At 37.1% G+C, this 19,652-nt stretch overlaps 1 protein-coding gene across 1 annotated transcript in view, besides 1 other annotated feature; it reads right to left on the bottom strand.

Annotated features, from left to right (window-relative positions):
* Nucleotides 1-19,652, bottom strand: part of MSH3 (mutS homolog 3) — a 222,164-nt gene that overhangs the window by 109,886 nt on the left and 92,626 nt on the right. The window contains exon 13 of the mRNA NM_002439.5: nt 5,252-5,384. Within this exon, the coding sequence (NP_002430.3) occupies nt 5,252-5,384 (133 nt within the window). The remainder of the gene's footprint in view (nt 1-5,251; nt 5,385-19,652) is intronic.
* Nucleotides 18,519-19,079: an enhancer, noted in NCBI's record as "OCT4-NANOG hESC enhancer chr5:80043670-80044230 (GRCh37/hg19 assembly coordinates)". NCBI's record gives its function as "activates a minimal SCP1, AML or CMV promoter by ChIP-STARR-seq in naive H9 embryonic stem cells {active_cell/tissue: H9 hESC(naive)}" and the evidence as "EXISTENCE:reporter gene assay evidence [ECO:0000049][PMID:30033119]".

The following is a 19,652-nucleotide window of genomic DNA, read 5'->3' as shown; positions in this document are numbered from 1 at the left end:
TACATTATTCTATATAAATAAAAAATCTAAATATCAATAAAAATTTTAGGAGGTAACACATGTGACTTACTCTGGTTACCTCTGGGTAGTAGGTATGGAAGGGTGGCAGAGGGAGACTTTTTACCCTTTACTGCATACCCCTGCATACTACTGTAGTTTTTTTTTTAACATGAACATGAATAATTTTTATATCATAGCTTCTGGTAAACAGTGAGTTAAACACATGCATCTAATTTCTCTCCATCTTGAAACGACAGTTAAGAGATTGTTTAAAACGGCATAAAACCAGCCAGACGCAGTGACTCACGCCTGTAATCCCAGCACTTTGGGAGGCTGAGGCGGGCAGATCACAAGGTCAGGAGTTCGAGACCAGCCCTACCAACATGGTGAAACCCCATCTCTACTAAAAATACAAAAATTAGCTGGGTGTGGTGGCGCTCGCCTGTGATCCCAGTGACTCAGGTGGCGAGGCAGGAGAATCGCTTGAGCCTGGAAGGCGGAGACTGCAGTGAGCCGAGATCGTGCCACTGCACTCCTGCCTGGGCAACAGAGCAAGATTCCGTCTCAAAAAAAAAAAAAAAAAAAAAAAAGGAAAAAAACACACTAGAAAAGAAGACAACAGCAATAATATGTTAGAAGCTATAAAGTAAACAAATAAACAGTAATTGACTTAAAAGACTCAAGGTATCTGAATTTTAAACTGTCCTTAAGGAAAACGGAGACACAATTTACATCAAGAATCCAAAAAGACTTGTGTACCAATATGGATTCTGCCCTGTTAGGGAACTTCTAAAAATATTAATAATATCTTCCATGAAACAGAAGATACTACAACCATGAAACAAGATGCTACTTTTAAAAAGAAAAAACATTTGGAGGACAAGAAAACAAAAATTCTTGGAAATTAAAGCATAATAGTAGAAATGAAAAATTCAACAGAAGAGGAAGTAAAGATAATGAAGTCATCTAAAACCTAGAATTTTATACCAATCCAAACTACCAATCAAATGTGAAGGTAGTAACAATAATAACAACAACAAAAAAACCACTTTCAGACATGAATGTTTCAAAAGATTTACTTCCAACGTGCTTTCTCAGGAAGGTTCTAGAGGATATATACTCCACCAAAATGAAGAAATAAACGAAGAGGAAGACATGGAATATAGAAAATAAAAGATTCAACTCAAGGGAAGTAAAGGGAATCTAAGATAGTACTATACAACAGATATGGGGACAACCAGTCCAGACTGGATCAAGTTAGAAGGCTCTAGAAGACAGCTCAGGAAAATAAAACTGACAAAATGTTGGCTGAAAAGAACTGTCTTGAGATGAGAAAACAATTTAGGGGTAAAGTAATAAGGCACATAATAGATAGTATATATGAAATAGATTAAGGCTAAGAACGTATTCAAAAAGGTAATTACTAACCACAAAGGGTGAATTATGCAAAAAAAATAAGAAGTTAGGTCCAACTGAGCAAATGTTGAATTCTAAGTGTATCATGAGGCAACTTTTCTCCAGAAAGACCCCCTCCCCACCCTATACAGGAAGCTGGACTGTTTAAATAAATGTGAAACCTGGAAGCTTTTTGGCCACTAGTCAATTAATGATACCTTTTAACAAAAGTAAAGAAACAAACACAAACATTTTCAATATAATTTTGAATATTAACCTCTTATGATTATTGTAATCCCAAGAAAATGATTAATTTTCCAAGCTGAGACACAATGTAAAGTTAAGTCAGCAACAGAAGCAAGGTGAAAACCAGTAGTGCTTTACAATCATGTTGAAAGCCAGAGGCAGCAGGTTGTTCTCAAGTTTCTTAAGCAAAAGAACTCAAAAGAAGCTACAAGAAAGCTGAGGATGGGTAAGTGGCTGCTCCTGAAGTCACTCTCCAGGAGTTCAGCCCTACTTCTGGCAGCAGCTGTCTCACTGGGAGAGCTTGAGCACAGACCCACAAGTATGGTGGCAGGGCCTCACTGGACACAGGATGGGAAGGACCCCAGCTTAAGTGCCACACTGAACATGCAGCTGTGGGCTTATTCCTGCTTAGCTAAAAAAAGATTTTCACCTAGGAAATTCTGAAAACACTCTCCTCAACATTTGCTAAGTGCGATTATCCTTTAAATGTATTCACCAACCTCGGCAGTTACTTAAGAATTTCTTACAAAACAGTTCTTGAGCAAAGTTATTATGGGTTCCTGTGACTAGCACTATTTACAGGATTTGAATTTAACATTTTGCCATCAAAAGAAATGTTTATTTTAGGCTAAGCACAGTGGCTCACACCCGTAATCCCAACACACTGGGAGTCCAAGGTGGGAGGATCTCTTGAACCCAGGAGCTGGAGACCAGCCTGGGCAACATGGCAACACCTTGTCTCTACAAAAAAATGCAAAAAAAAAAAAAAAAATAGCTGGGCATGGTGGCACGTGCCTGTTGTCCCAACTACTCAGAAGGCTGGAGGCTGAAGCTGTAGTGAGCTGTGGTCGCACCACTGCATTCCAGCATGGGTGACACAGTGAGATCTTGTTTCAAAAAAAAAAAGAAGAAGAAGAAATGTCTATTTTATACCAGAATCAGCTCACTTGAGATCCTCTATCATTATCACCATAAAAACACCTATTGGTACATATTCCAGGGCACGTTCCACAAAACCATACAGCCTATGCTAACCACTTCCCACAACATCCAGTGTTCCTTCTCATTTTATGAATTTCACATAATTGGCACAATCTGTACCCAGGACATCACCCACTATGTGGTGTACACAGTAGAAGCTTATTTAGAGTAATCTAATAATAAAGAACAGACATATGTTTGATGGTGTGTACACAGAGCCAGCCAACTAATCTATAAAACATTGGTTTAAAGCATTCAGCTTTCCTGAAGTTGGTTTGTTACCAGATCATTTCTACTCTTCACCCTTCAAACTAATCTTTAGGTACATTCTTGTGTAAACAAACACTAAAACAGCAACAAGGAATGGCTTCCAAGTGAGTTATAAGTTCCGTTAGTAAACTATATTTTGAAATTCCAAAATAAGTCATTCTTGCACTGCATACCGGCCACTTTTTAAATGAATTAGATTCTGACTTTACTAGAGTTTTGAAACTTTTATAAATACACAAACCCTGTGCAATACAAACATCAAAGTAAAGTTTACAAAAAGGCAGGAAGGTGGAATAGAAATCACAGCCCCATGAACTGATGCTGCCATCTTGATGCCATGGACACTTTGACTTTGTGCATTTGAGTAGCCACTGAAAGATTTTCAGCTTTGCTTCTGTTTTCAAATCTCTGACATCTGTCAGTGAATCCTTTGAAGTAGTTAAGGCAAGGTGCCTGGAGATCTGTTGTTTAAAGAAGGTTAATATGCATCAATTTTCAGGCTCTGAGCCAAGGATAAAAACAACAAATGGTTTGGCACCCACATTGCAACTTCAAAAAGGTCTACCATAAAACTTGCGACTATCAGCACAGCTTCTGCTATTGCCAGCAAAACAATAACATGGTGTACCCAATAATGATGCAATAGGCTCCCCGGCCCCATAACCAACTCATATATCTTTCTCCCCAGGATCAGTATTTCCAGTTCTGGCTTGTGCATTGTTTTCAAATTTAGCTGAGGCATGTAAAACAGTTACGTAAGTCCTCTTGGGCACCTCAAGTATTCTTAGAAGCAGTACTTATCATTCTAGTAAAACTCTGTGGGGGTAAAAGGGGATGAAAAATATAGAAACACTAATGAAAAATTGGTCACAACTAAAATTTAGGCATATTGGCTGGGCGCAGTGGCTCATGCCTGTAATCCCAGCACTTTGGGAGGCCGAGGCGGGTGGATCACCTGAGGTCAGGAGTTCGATACCAGCCTGGCCAATGTGGTGAAACCCCATCTCTGCTAAAAATACAAAAATTAGCCAGGCATAGTGGCGGGTGCCTGTAACCCCAGCTACTCAGGAGGCTGAGACAGAAGAATCGATTAAACCTGGGAGGTAGAGGTTGCAGTGAGCCGAGATCACGCCATTGCACTCCAGCCTGGGTGACGAGAGTAAAAGTCTGTCTCAAAAATAAAATAAAATAAAATAACATAAAATAACATAACATAACATAACATAACATAACATAACATAACATAAAATAAAATAAAAAATTAAAATAAAATAAAATAAAACAAAATAAAACAAAATAAAATAAAAATTTAGGCACATAAAAATGGTTACACAGTAAAATTATTAAATTGGCAAGGAGTTACATTTGGAGGAAAAATAAAATTTGCTTATGAAAAGTGGCAACCAGAAAAAAAAAATGGCAGTCAAGATAACTACATCAAACATGATAGCATCCAAAAGACACAGCCAATGAAAACACAGTCAAGAATCCTGGGTCTAAATACAGATTCTGTTACTAGCAAGTTACTAAACCTCTGAGCATCATCATATTAGCCAAGGTAATTCAAGTGGTTGCAGCATTTTATATATATACATATATATATACACACACATATATAGCATTAGATATAATTTCTTATTAGTAAGAAGGTAATAAAAATAGTAACTTCTCAATGTCATAAAGTTTTGATAAGGAACAAAGAGTATAAGGTATGTGAATGACTTCTGCAAAAAGTAAAACACCATAGTTTATAGTGTTTTATCATTTAAAAATATTAATAATTTTTTTAATTTTAGGCATATTTTGAAGATAACCTAAATTATTTCCCTAACCGTGGAAAATGACTCATTTTTGCTATGACTCAAACTGTAAAGCTTAAGTGATAAAAATCAAAATAATCCTTTACTCACCTTCAATATCCAAGCTTGTTTGCATACTAACTACCACCACAGATGTTATACTAGCAGATTTTTCCATAGTTTAAGAAACAATAAGTTGTTCTAAGATCAAAAGAAATAAGGTTTTTTTTTTCTAAAATAACAAGTCTACATAAATTTCCTATTTTGATAATAGTCTGTACTTTCAGGATGAAACAGGAGAATACCCTATATTATAACAGAAGGGCCTCTATGTTGCTGTAGTTAAGGCACATGAGAAAACTTTATTTTCTACAATGGAAAAATTGGAATAACTCTAATTTGTACTATTAAAATTTCTGAGGATTCAGCTACTCTCGCATGCTATTTGTAAGATTTTACAAAATAAAATAATAATAGAGCTCTCAAAAGTTTTCTTTTAATATATAGTGTCCTCAAGCTGAAGAACACTGTCAGCTTTAATAGATTTCTATCACACTTACTTTTTTGTGATAAATGCTACAGAGTCCCCTCTCTATGTCGGGCAATTTACGTAGATGATTTTCTATCTGACCAAACACACTAGATTCTGAATGGAGAACTTCCGATACAGCATCAAGCCGGGCATTTATTTCCCTGTGAGAAAAGAGTAATAGCAATAATCAGATATGTTAGGAATTCAGAATATAGACATTTCCCACTCTAATGCCCAGGAATGTGACACAGCCACTTATTAGGCACAAAGGAAACTCCTCCTTCATACTGAGATAGTCATGTGGGAAGGACTCCCTGACAAAACTCCAATGGGCGTATGCATTGAGAGGAGGGTGCACTGGGGTGGAGACACAGAAGTTCACGCCTTTGGCAGCAGGGAGGAGCCTGGCCCCTCCTCCTCCTGGGTGGAACCTGGGATTACAGTCTGTGAGGCGGGAAGCATACTAGCAAGATTCTCGTTCTGTCTTGTTGGAGAGTCTTTGTTTCCCTTTTTATTGCTCTTTGCCCAATAAATTCCATTTTTCTCCTCCTTCGAATTGTCTGCGGGCCTAATTTTACATGGCTGTGTGATGAGGACCACCCTCCCCCAACCTCGCTGTCTTTAACTGAACTAAGGAAAAAGTCCTACAACAATATATCTGGTCCTTCCATGCCTCTTATTATTATCTGAATCAAAGAGCAGGTATCATACAAGGAAATTCACTAGCTGGGTTTGACAAAGACAGGCTCACCAAGCAAACACAAAGACTACATTTCCCAGTCTCCCCTGTAGTTAGGTATGGCCATGTACCTCAGTTCTGAAGCATGGGTGGGAATGATGTAAGCCACCTCTAGCCCTGGCCCATAAAAACTTCCTGAATAAGCTTTCACATTCTCCTAATCCCCTTTGCCAGCTAGGCAAGCTTGTGAGCCTCATGGTAACTCCATCAGCCTGAGCCCACAGTGGAGCAGAAAATCCACCATTCCCGGATCTGTTACCAATTGAACTTATATTAGCAAGAAATAAACTTCTAATGTATTTAAGCCACTTAGACGGAGAATTTGTTTGCTGATAGCTTGCATTACCTTGGCTAATATAATAGTTAAACAATGACCAACAAGACGACCTAGTGGTGGTGGTGATGGCTGAACTGACCAACTGTTTGAATGAATTAAATTAAACATATTGACCCTGACCAAAGATTGGGGAGTAGCAATAGAAAGTGCAGAGGATATGACATTCAGATACATAGGAGATCAGTGCTGCGGGATTTTACCAACGGCTACACCTTAAGTGATGACTCAACTTAAAACGGAAATCTGATGGACTAAATGTATCATCAATGAGATGTGGTCCATGAAGTACCTATAAACATCAAAGGCCCACACTAGGTATAATGACCATCTGTAGTATTAAAAACTAAGATAAGTAAACATGTCTGGTGAGTAGTAAGTCCTCAGTAAGGATTTAAAGTGTTTGTAAATGAATGAATGAATAAATAAACAAGTGGATGAAAGAATGAACTGATGTTTTGGGGGAAAGGAGGCATCAGCCACTGAATAAACTTGGTGTCTCTCAAAATTCTGTTGACATCATACACACTGATATGAAAAGCAAATCTTAGATCAGGATCCTGGCTAGATTACAATCAGACTGAGGACTTTCGATTTAGTGAGTGCTTTTGTCTTTATTATCCTTAACTACCTGTGAGATCATGCCTTTTCATAATACAGAGCTTCTATACTAACTTCAGGCCTCATTTTTGTTCCATTTTTCTCTGGCTCATACTCTTGCATGCAGAAGGACCATTTGTTAGTACGATGCAGGAGAGCAAGACAGAGCTTTGTACACACACGGGCTGGCTCTTCCATTCTCAGCAGGGTGGACTCTGTAATCCATCCACCACTCTCCACCTCTACAGCCACTACTATAGTCTAAGTCCAAATTATATTGAAACAGCCTCCTAACTTTCCTCCCCACTTCCATTCCTTTTTCCAACTCATTCTCCACACTGCAGCCTGAGTGGTTTTCCTAAAGCCCAAATCTGTTCATGTCACACCTCTGCTTTAAACTCATCTGTGACTTGCTATTAATCTTAGGTTCAAATCCAGAATCTTTAATTGTCCTAAAAAACAACTGATGCCTGTTTAGCTCTTGGGTCTCCCCTGAGATCATGTGTCACTCTCTTCCTCCTACTCTAAGTTCCAGTCAGACTGCATATCTTTCAATGACTTAGTTACTCCAAGCTCTCTGACATGGAGGCTTTCTCATTTGCTGCTTACTTTGCCTAGAAGGTTATTTTCCTCTTCCCTACCACCCATCAGCTACACTTCGTCTGGCGAACTCCTACCCTCTCTTCCTCTGAAAGGCCTTTCTAGATTCACTAGACCAGACTTAATCCCTTTACTATCATTTCCCATACTACCGTCTTTTCCCTTCTCATAATGGTAATCATAATTGTATTTCTTCTTCAATGGGAATTTACTACTTCACTGTCTTTCCTACAAGACTATAAATTCAGTGAACACAGGGGTCATTTCTTATCCCTACATTTCAGGATAACAATTTGTGCTCAATAAACAGTTATTCGATTCAATTTCATTCTGAAGACTACATATAAAGTAAATCAAGATGAGCTGGAAAAAATAAATTTTCTTTGCAAAGGATTGTTGTGATAAAATAAACCAATGTTTTACTCTAACATTTACCCAAAATGTTATACAAATATAAAGTTTTACTTTAATAACTCACTCCTGCATAAATGAAAGATGACACCAATTGGAATAGACTAAGTTGATGCTACAGATGGTTTGAGGACTGATAAAATAATGCCATCTGTGAACATATAAGACAGCCTACACAAATAGCTACTGTCTCAAAAATTAAAGGTTTTCTGAGATACAGAAAGATACGAGCAAAAAAGTTTAATAAAAATCTAAGTCATATTTATGAAGTCTACCAGAAGATTTTTTTAATAGATATAAAACTATAAATTTCTTAGAGACTTGAAAGGTTAGGCCAAGTTGGTTTGGAATCTGGGAAAACATAAAGGAAAAGGTTTTTATTTTAGTCTAGTGCCAACACAGGCAAAAGCAGTATGTTCACTATCAATCAGTTTGGTTTTAACCCAACCTTCTTTAAGGACTACCTCAGAGGTTACCAACTTGGGCTCAGAAGTCAGGTGGCCTTGATTCAAACCCAGGCTCTGCCATTTACCAATTATTTAGCCTTGTCCTAGTTTCTCCACCTATAAAATGAGAAGAGCAATGAGCCCTAACTCTTGGTGTTAGTACAAGAATTCAATGAAATAATAAATGTCAGGTACTTAACACAGTACCTGCTACATCATGACAACCACTCATAAATGTTTACTGTTACCACATCGTTACAAATTTTGTGTAGTAGACACTACAAAGAACAGCATGGAAGAGGGATAAATAGCATCCAAAATATGAGCTCAGAAATAACTATGTATGGACAAACCTTAGGGCATAGATATGTAAACAGGTATTTTGTGCAAAGTGAACAACAAGTGGGAATTATACAAGAAAAGCTAGTCCTGGGATCTTGAGTGCTAAACCTGACAAGTAGTAATGATCTGAAGTACTCGCTGTGCTGAGACTGGACAGTAGGTTGCATTGAGAAAGCACAATGTAACTATTAATAATTATGGAGGTCTAAATGGGCAGGGAGAGAGTGAAAGGGTATGTGACACTGTTCACCACAAATTTCTCATCACTGCGGTTAGGTATAATTCCATCTTCAACTCCTGTACGAAGATCAGAATGGAAATAAGCAAGAATGACTACATTTTTAAATATTAAACAATTCACATACCTTAGAATTGTTTTTTAATGTGCAGTAGTAACAAGACCTTCCAAATAATTGTAATAAAACAGTATGTCAGGCCACACAATAGAGAATTATTATCTTAGTGCAATTAATGACAGATGGAGTGATAGCAACAGGAAACAAAACTGGAAGAAGCATCATCAATTGGATGATGATAAAGATATTATTCCAAGATGACTGATAGTATTCTACGGTTGATCTTACTATACAACTTAAATTAACTGAAAGAAGGCACCTGAGTCATTTCATTCCATATACCAAACAAACAAAAAGAAGAGGTCCTGGGGATGACAAAGATTCATCTTTACTACCAAAGATGAAAGGACTAAATGTGAGTGTCACTGGAGTCCTTCACATTTGAAGATAAACTAGGTGGTGACATGAGTATCTACCATGTGTGGCTGTCACTCAGAAACACAGAGTGTGACCTATAGCTATTGTCAGTGATGGAGTCAGTACCTACTGGTTGCTACTGTGAAAATGCCTCTATAATTCAAACTTAAGATAATTTTGTATAGTTAGATATATTGAATAAGATCTAGTATTTGAGAGTGCAACAGGGTGACTACAGCCAACAATTTATTGTACATTTAAAAATAACTAGAAGAGTATAATGGGAATATCTGTAACACAAAGAAATGATAAATGCTTGGGGTGATGGATACCCCATTTACCCTGATATGATTATTATACATTGTATGCCTGCAACAAATATCTCATATACCCTTAATATATAGACCTACTATGTACCTACCAACATAAAATGTTTAAAAAAAGTTGTCTGGTGGGGGTGGGGAGCTGAAATACAAACTGCTAGGGGTGTATTTTTTGTTTGGTTTCGTTTTACTGAAAAGTTTGACTTTTAAGACAGCACAGAACGAGTAGATTAAATTCAGACATTAACACATTGGTCATGTGAAATGGCTAAATGAACTACCTAAATAATCTCCTGTCAGAAACATGAACCATAGGCCCTTTCCTAGGATCTAAGCATCATTAGACCTATATAGCTTCACCTTTCACATACACCATTCATTCTTACATTCAATGAACAATTACTGAGTGCTTACAAAGTACTAATTGTACAAAGTGGTAGACATTAGGGCTATAATTGTTAACAGAGCTTTGCTAGTCTACAAACAATTTACACTCTAGTGATGAATAGTAAAACTTTTTAAAAAGCATTAATGATAACAATGTAATAAGATTATAACTGGGTTATGATCTAGGTACAATGGGAACACAGGCCAGGAGCACCTAACGAACAAATGCAGTTTTAGGATCAGGGAGGATTTCCTGGGGGTAGCTATTGAGTAAAAGATTAGCTATTGTCTATAAAAGATTAGTGGAAAATGGAGGGTGAAGGTTTGAAAATGTGATCACAGGAGCTGGGATCCAAGGCTAATAGTCTGGATGCACATAAGAACAGTGTCAGGAATACCAGTTAGAAAGCTGTTTCAAAAATCCAGAGAAGAAACACTGAAGGCCTGACATTGCCACCCTGTGCTGCATTCTAGGTAATTTCTTCAGGTATTATCTTGCATTTCAGTTATTTCCTCTATTCTTGTTTAACCCATATCCTGCTTTGTTGTTGTTGTTTTCTTTTCTTTCTTTCTTTTTGGAGTATAAGATCCATTCTTATTTAAGTCATTCTTTTTTTAATTTCAATAGTTTTTGTGGCAGAAATGGTTTTTGGTTACATGAATGAGTTCTTTAGTCCATTCAGTCTTAAAGAATTGTCTGTGTTTCCTTTTTAAATCAATCTGAGCCCTTTTGATAGTATTTATTTTCCATGCTCATATTTTTTATTCTATTTTGTATTTTTTTAACTTGGTGATTTATGTGAGTACCATCAGACTGTTTTAAATAAGTTTCACAGCTTGGAAATTGCCAGACCACACAGAGTATAAATTGAAACTGAAAATCTATGAGGGAGGGCCTGTGGTTAAGAATTCTTAGAAACGTTTTCCTCAGGCAAGAACAGGTCAAGACGTATTTGTCACCTCTCTACTGAGACCACAGTCCTTTGAGTGTCTCACGTTACTATGGTATCTCTAACTTAAATGGACCCAAGACCCTGTCTCCTGTCTCCCACAAGGCAGTTGAACCCCAATCCTTTTGATTACCAAGATCTGCAGGAGCCCAGAGGGCAGCTGCAGCAGTCAATTCACTTCCATTTCCAGTTCCTTTTTCCATCTGTTCCCTCAGTTCTTCCCTTATGTTTTAAATACAGATTCAGCAATGTCCTAAAGGGATGTTTGTTATGCTTGATCCAGCATATCTAGTTATTTCACATAAGGAGATATTTTATGACATTAAAACCACAGAAAATGAAGTCTTCTTATGGCATTTTTGAAGACCGATATTTGGAAAATCCTCATTAATAAAGGCATAAAGATGGAGAAAGATAAAGCAGGAAGGGCCAAAAAGGAAAGATATTTATTTCCTTCTCCTCATTCTCTCCAATATTCCTCTTCCTCAGCCCAAATGAAAGCTGCCATTTGCTGCAGGTCGTTTGTGCAGGTCTAGAGCTCACTGAAGGTCCGAATGTTGAAGAACAAAGCAGAGGCCAGCTAAAAGTTCCTGGATGTTAGTTAATCCCTATGCACTGACAGTCGGGACAAACAGTAAGAGGCACTCGGGTTCATTTTGTTCTTAGCAGCAGCAGTTCCTCCTTTAAACTCTCATTCAAACCGGCAGAGGAAAGGGGCACCAGGTCAGTCCCAATCAAACACAGCTCTCAATTACGCACCACCTGCTACTCTCCCTTCCCATTTCCGAGCAGTAATGCATCCCCAGGGGCTGAGTAAACCAGAGTCACTGCAAGTGAACACCCGGTTGCTGGCTCATGGAACATGGGAAACCACAAAGAATACAGAGGGCTTCCCGGTGTAGTTCATTTTAGAAGTTCCAGAGTTAAAAGTGACATTTGGTTTCATTAACACAAATTAAATGTTAAGTGGAAGGAAATATGCAACATTCTATTACTTCATCATTTGGGCCAGGGTAACAAATTAGAAATACAACCATTAATACTCCAAACATATGGGTTTACCAAAACAAAAGCCATTTAATGTAGAGAACATTGACCACTAAAATGTACTTAGTACATCAGAAAGTCATGCAAAAATGTAGTCAAAGATCTATTTCCTAACACAAACCATTTTCTATTCCCTTAATTATGTGATTTAAATGCCAAGAATTATCTTAGCATGCCTAATTTCCTAAAGCAGTTTTCTAAAAATCTAATTTGACTTATAAAGGTATTACTCATTTGCTCTAAATGTGGTATTGAGTTATAGAGTGAGTAACAGGTAAGTATTTGATTTTAGTACAAAAGCTTCCACTACTTGTATCTCTTCCTCCTTACTAGTAGATTATACCTTGACCAGATTAGATTAGAAATTCCCTGACGCTGGGAACGCCACCTTGTCACTGAGACTGAATAATACAAAATTTAAAATAACTATCTTATACTACTAAGGGAAAACAGCCAAGTACAAAGTACTGGGTATATTATGGCTCCATCTATGTAATAAGGGAGGAAGAGATTTCATATATATATATATAAAATTCATATTTGCTTTTTTAAACAAAAGGTTTCTGGAAGTATACATGATAAAGTAATAACCATGATTACCTAGTGGGATCTGAGTAGATGTGGGGCAGGAATGATAAGCAAACATTTTACTGTGTAACTTTTCAGATTTTCAAACTTTTAAAGTATGTGAAGATATTGCCTGTTCAAAAGTTCAAATAATTTTTTAAATGCTAAGAAGAATGTACAATGGAATTGAAACAACAAAAACCATCTCTGGCAACAGACTGCTAGGTATTCACTAAACATTTCTTCCTATTCCTTGAAAAACAAGCAGACATTTGCTAGCCCCCGCAGTAAGCTGTGACCATCGGAATGCATTCTGCTTATAATCAGATTTAGGCAGAAGGGTATGTGCCAATGCAAGGCCTGCCTCACATAAAAGCCATAAATGTATATCCTCCCTGTTCTTTCTCCTTCCACTGCTGAATATCAGTTCTCAAGATGACGTTGGAAGCTACACGTTTAAAACTGAAGAGCCTCTGGGGTTCCTAACTGCCTATGTGATGAGAGTCTCACCCCACCCCCCAATGTGGAAAGGCCATGGATTGTTTATGCAAAGAAAAAAAAAGAAGAAATTAACTTTCACAACATTAGAGCCATTAGACTTTTTGGGGTCTTTGTGTTAACAGCTAGCTTCCCTAACCAATGCATTGCCTTTTGTGTTAACGAACACATTAGCATTTACTTAGTCAATCAGAACGTGAGGTTGAGATTCCTCAATTCCCAGAACTAGTCAAGTTTAGAGCATAAATAAAAGGGACCACAAAAAAACATTCCTCAATTGTTCATGGTTATATTATTTTGAGAGTAGGCCCCCATAAAAGACTCTACCTACTCACCAGTAATCCTCCTAAAGTCTCCCTACATTCCTGACGGTAGCTACAGGCAAAAGAAAACACAGGCAAGTACCAGATTCAGGAAAAGAAATGACCTGGGCAGATCCTAGAAACTGACAGTGCAAGCACCCAGCCTTCCCCCTGCCATCCCTGGAAGCCTTGGTCATCTGATGGCTGTCTTCTGTCTTTCTAATGCAAGATGTGCTGGAAAACAGATGCTCTCAAGTTCAACATGGGCTTTCTAGACAGATGTGCATGGGTCTCATTTTCACCTGATTATGATGGTAGTGAAGGTCAAATAGCAGTACATTATAAAAAATTCATGTGTGTGTATTTTCTGTATAATTTTTTAAAAATTAAATATTGCAAATACATGTAAAACACCAGCCTACCTGTATCTCTAACCCTTTTCTCATTTCCCAGAAGTTATTATTGTCTTGACTGCCTATGTGACAAGAAAACACCACTTCTGTTTGAACCCCTAAACAGGATATTGTGTGTGACAAAATTTAAATTAGTGATATCATTTATGTGTTCTTTTATAACATTGCTTTTCTGAGATTTATCCATGTTGATACACATAGACTTAAGTCATTCATTTTAACTGCTGTATAATATTCCAATATATAACCAGACAATTTATTTTCCCTTTCCCTACTAATAATTACACTGCTTCCAATTTTTTGGTATTCTAAAGACCATGGCTACCTTCTTGACCAAAAAATTGCTATGAGGAACCACACTAATCCTTTTACATATACTGTCTCATTTGGTCCTCACAACACCACAATGAGGTAGGTAGTTAATTCCCATTTTACAGGTGAAGAAACTGAGGTATATACAAATTCATAACTTCTCCAAAGTGACAAAAGGGAATCAGAACTCAAGCTGAAGTATCATTAACTCCAAAACTATGCTTTCAAAAGGTCCCCTATGTGCTTGGCTGGATGACCTTGGAAAAACTGAGACTTAGTTATTCTTATCTCTAAAACAGAATAACTATCTCTAAAGATAGCTGAAAAAAATACAGATAAAAAATAAAGCACAGTTAGAGATTAGTTCACTAGACTGACATTTTCTTTCTACTCCCTTGATCCCTCAGAGCTTTAAGTCCTCTGCTTGTCCTATACAAAGACATGTTCCCAGAGTAACACACCTTACCTCTTAGACCTCAGCTCTTCTCCCATTCCACCTTGGCTACTTTTCTTTCTTCGAATCTCAGATTCAGACCTCTGCTTCTTTCTTCCTAGGCATTTTCCTTTATTTTTAAATATATATATAAATGTTTCTTTTTCATCTCTAAAATTAATGTAACACTTTGCATACATACCTTCACCTGGACAGATACTGTCCAGGATATTTGTCAAAGATAAGAGAATAACTTTTCAGAGAACTGTACTACAAACACAAAATTGCACAAGATTGGCAATTTTACAAAATTCAATGGTTATTTACAACCTCACATCAGACGTTGAATAGATGAGCAAAACATTTAAATAATAATCAAAACACTTGTTTCTAGTAAAGAGATGGGTATAATCAGTCTATGTGTGCCAAAAGGAAGAAAATCTGGAAATAATGGGCCTATTTGTTTTGGGTTGAATTGTGTACCCCTAAAAAGATATGCTGAAGTCCTTATCCCTCTACCTCAAAATGTTATCTTATTTGGAAATAAGGTTATTGTAGATGGAATTATTAAGATGAGGTCATTCTGCAGTAAGGGTAGACCCCTAATCCAATATGACCATGTCCTTATTAAAAAACACTGTGTGAAGGGACATACATACAGCAAGCATACCATGTAACCATGAAGGCAGAGATCAAGGAGCTACATCTACAAGCCAAGGAACGCCAAAGGGTGCCAGCACACCACCAGCAGGTAGGAGAGAGGACCAGAACAGATTCTCCCTGATAGGCCTCAGAAGGATTCCTTGATCTTGGACTTTTAGTCTCCAGCTAGCTAGTTTTCCCAGCAAAATTTATCACATAGAGAATCCTTTCCCCATTGCTTGTTTGTATCGGGTTTGTCGAAAATCAGATAGTTGTAGATGTGTGGTGTTTATTCCGAGGTCTCATGAAACTTTTCATAAAGCATTAATGATGTCACCACTCTTCCACCCAAGCTTCACCATAAATATGGTGTTTGTTCTCGCTTTAATTTTTAGCAGAATTCATGTTGTTCTGATAGAAGCTCTTTTCAAACTGATATCTTATCCCTGTTAATGCCTCAAACTACATCCTATTGAGACATGCTCTAACAAGTTAGTATGAGTTTATTTTGGTGCCAAAATTTTTTGAAATCTATGCAAAGTTTTTTCATAATATGCATTTTACATGAACTTTCTGAAGACCCCTTGTACAGATAATGTAAGAGCCCCATGCATATTAAATAAACATAGGTAACAATCATGATTAAACCCTATATGCTATCAATGAGTGATACAAGGAACATAATTTAGATTAGGAGGTCAAATAAAACCTCTCCGAAGATATTAACACAACGTTTTAAGTTGAGACCTCAAGTACAAGCAGTTAACCCTGTAAAGATTAAAGAGAAACAGAAGAATATTCTACGTAGAGAGACCACGAAGTACAAAGACTAACAAGTGCAAAGACTTGAGAAAAAGCCTTGGGATGCTCAGGAACCAAACTATAGACAACAAAAGCAAGAACAGACGAATGGGATTGCATCAAACTAAAAATCTGCACAGCAAAGGAAACAATGAACAGAGTAAACAGACAACCCAGGGACTAGGAGAAAATATCTGCAAATCAAACACTGGATAAGGGGCTAATATACCAAATATACAGGGAACTCAAACTACTCAATAACAAGAAAACAAATAACCCTATTTAAAAATGGGCAAAAGGTCTGAATAGACGATTCCCAAAAGATATACAAATGGCCAATAGATAAATGAAACAATGCTCAACATCTCTAATCAGAGAAACGCAAATTAAAACCACAATAGGTCACCTCACTCCTTTCAGATTAGTTTTTATTAAAAAAGATGAAAGATAACAAGTAAAGATGTGGAGAAAAGGGAACCCTTGTCCACTGTTGGTGGTATTATAAATCAGTACAGTCACTTTGTAAAACAGTATGCTAGTTCCTCAAAAAACTAAAAATAGAATTACCATATGATCCAGCAATTCCATTTCTGGGTATATATCCAAAGGAATTGAAATCAGTATGTTGAAGAAATATCTGTACTCCCTATGTTCACTGCCACATTATTCACAATTATCAAGATATGGAAACAACCAAAGTGTCCACCAATAGATGAATAGATTTTTTAAATGTGACACACACACACACACACACACACACACACACACTCTGGAATACTATTCAGCCTTAAAAAAAAAAGCAGTAAATTCTATCATTTGACAATATGGATGAACCTAGAGGACATAATGCAAAGTGAAATAAGCCAGGCACAGACAGAGAAATACCACATCATCTCACTTATATGTAAAATCAAATAAAGTCAAACTCATAGAAGTAGAGATCAGATTGGTGGTCATCAGAGGCTAGGGGAGAGGGTAGATGGGGAAAAGAGAGATGCTGGTCAACTGGTGCAAAGTTTTGGTTAGACAAGAACAAGTTCTGGTGATCTATTGCATAGTACGGTGACTATAGTTAATGCATTGTATGTGTGTCAAAATAGCTAAAAGAGGGTTTTAAATGTTCTCAACAAAAAAAAATGATAAATGTTTGAGGTGATAGATATATTAATTAGCTTGATTTGATCATTCTATAATGTATATATGTAATGAAATATCACATTGTACCCCATGAATATTGTGATGGTTAATACTGAATGTCAACTTGATTGGGTGGAAGGATGCAAAGTATTGTTCCTGGGTGTATCTGTGAGGGTATTGCCAAAGGAGATTAACATTTAGTCAGTGGGCTAGGAGAGGCAGACTCACACTCAATCTGGTGGGCACCATCTAATCAGCTGCCAGTGTGGCTATGATAAAAGCAGGCAGAGAAACATGGAAGGACTAGACTGGCTGAGTCTTGAGGCCTCCATCTTTCTCCTGTGCTGGATGCTTCCTGCCCTTGAACATCAGACTCTCAGTTCTTCAACTTTTGGACTCTTGGACCTTCACCAGTGGTTTGCCAGGGACTCTCTGCCCTTTGGCGACAAACTGAAGGCTGCACTGTTGGCTTCCCTACTTTTGAGGTTTTGGGATTCAGACTGGCTTCCTTGCCCCTCAGCGTGCAGACAGCCTACAGTGGGACTTCACCTTGTGATCATGTAAGTCAATACTCCTTATATACATCTATCCTATTAGTTCTCTCCCTCTACAGAACCCTAATACAAATATATACAATTATTTGTCAATTAAAGATAAAACTTTACAAATTTTTTTAATTAAAAAATGTAAAGTACAGGTAGAAGAAAGAGGTACTCATGAAAGAAACTAAATTTCTTTTAATTTTTAAAGTATATAGTATGCTACTGAAAGTGGAATACCTCTAAGATAAACAAATCTGCCTTGGAAATTAATTATTTTGCTTAACTCACCATTTTAGAGACTCATCCCACATAACCCACCAATGAGTCTGGAACACAGACTCATCTCACGGTTTTCTTTTTTTCTCCTCTACCAATATTTACAAGCAGAATTTGCATTTTCAGGCTTTTTGACAAAACCAATGACATACATATGGGTGTGTGTGTGTGTGTGTGTGTGTGTGTGTGTGTGTGTGTGTAAATAAAAAATTGACAAGACTATATCAACTGAAAGAAGTCCAAAGACAGAACCTCAAAAAAAATTAATTCGATATAATCTAATTTTAAAAGGCCTTAAGAATAATGGCATGCCAATGTGACATGCATTTATTTAAAAAACAACTACACTGAAGAATCTTCTTGCCTAAAATTAGCAGAACTGATAAAAACTACAGGTGAGAACACATAAGAAAAAATAATCTATTTATAAAAGCTAATGTGATATCAGTACAGTAAAATCCAGCCTCAATAATCTAAGTGAACTCTTTGAATCAGTCAATAAGTAAAGTAAAAATCATTTTTACTTTCTAAAAGTCACTATTAAAATTTTGCACCAAAGAGACCATTTTATAGAATAAAAGGTGACGGGAGTGGAAAGTCTTCTGAAACTTGAATGCCTGGTCCTAGACTTATGAACTGTGTGTTTGCCCTTAAGAGCTAGAACAAGATAAAAATACAAAGAGGAGCTTAAGGGATTTAGGAGAATTCATGGATGACTGACAAACAATGGGATCTTGCAGAACCTGGGGAGATCTGCATTATTTTGCTAAATCCCCTCGTCATCCATTATTTGTTCTACGATCTCACTGTAGAAGAAAACCAGACCCTAAACTAACCTTTGGCAGTCAATGTCAGAGACAGAATATTTGTCTGGATGAGCCACTGATGTGATCAGTAAGGCACTTATGTCAGTATAAACAACAACACCATCATGCCTCACTTAATGATGGGGATACATTCTGGAAAATGCATCGTTAGACAATTTTGTCATTCTGTGGACATTACAGAGCATATAGTTACATAAAATTAGATAGTACAGCCCACTGCACACCTAGGCTATATGGTACAGTATACTGCTCCTACGCTAAAACCCAGACAGCATGTTACTCTACTAAATACTGTAGGCTACTGTAACACAATGGTAAGTATTTGTGTGTCTAAACATTTCTAAACATAGAAAACACCTCTGTATATGCAATCCCCAAGGACCAAAATGTTGTCATGTGGTACATGACTAATTATATAGCTGAGCCACTGACTAATCAGCAGATTCTCTCCAGGTATTTGTTTGGAATACGTTGCAAGTGCCATTAAAATTAAACTGGAATTCTTTTGAAATAGATTTTAATAGATTAGGAGTATAAAAGTTTAAAAACCATGACCTAAAATAAAAGGGCAAAGAAAAGGTTCGTGTGTTTGTTTTTGGCTAACATCAGTGTTAGGTCAGTGAAAAGTTCATACTTGAAAACATCAGTGTTGAATGCCTGGCATATTTTCTCTCTGCCTTTCTGGGAAGGTAGGATCCCCAGAGATACATGATTCGGCGCCTAACAACAGACAACATGGTCTACTAGATTTATCTCAAATTAATCCTGGGTACACAAAAAAAAAGGA

This window comes from Homo sapiens, chromosome 5 (assembly GCF_000001405.40).
Source record: "Homo sapiens chromosome 5, GRCh38.p14 Primary Assembly".
Lineage (NCBI taxonomy): Eukaryota > Metazoa > Chordata > Mammalia > Primates > Hominidae > Homo > Homo sapiens.
Note: the sequence above shows the minus strand (reverse complement) of the source record. Positions and strands in the feature narration are given on the sequence as shown.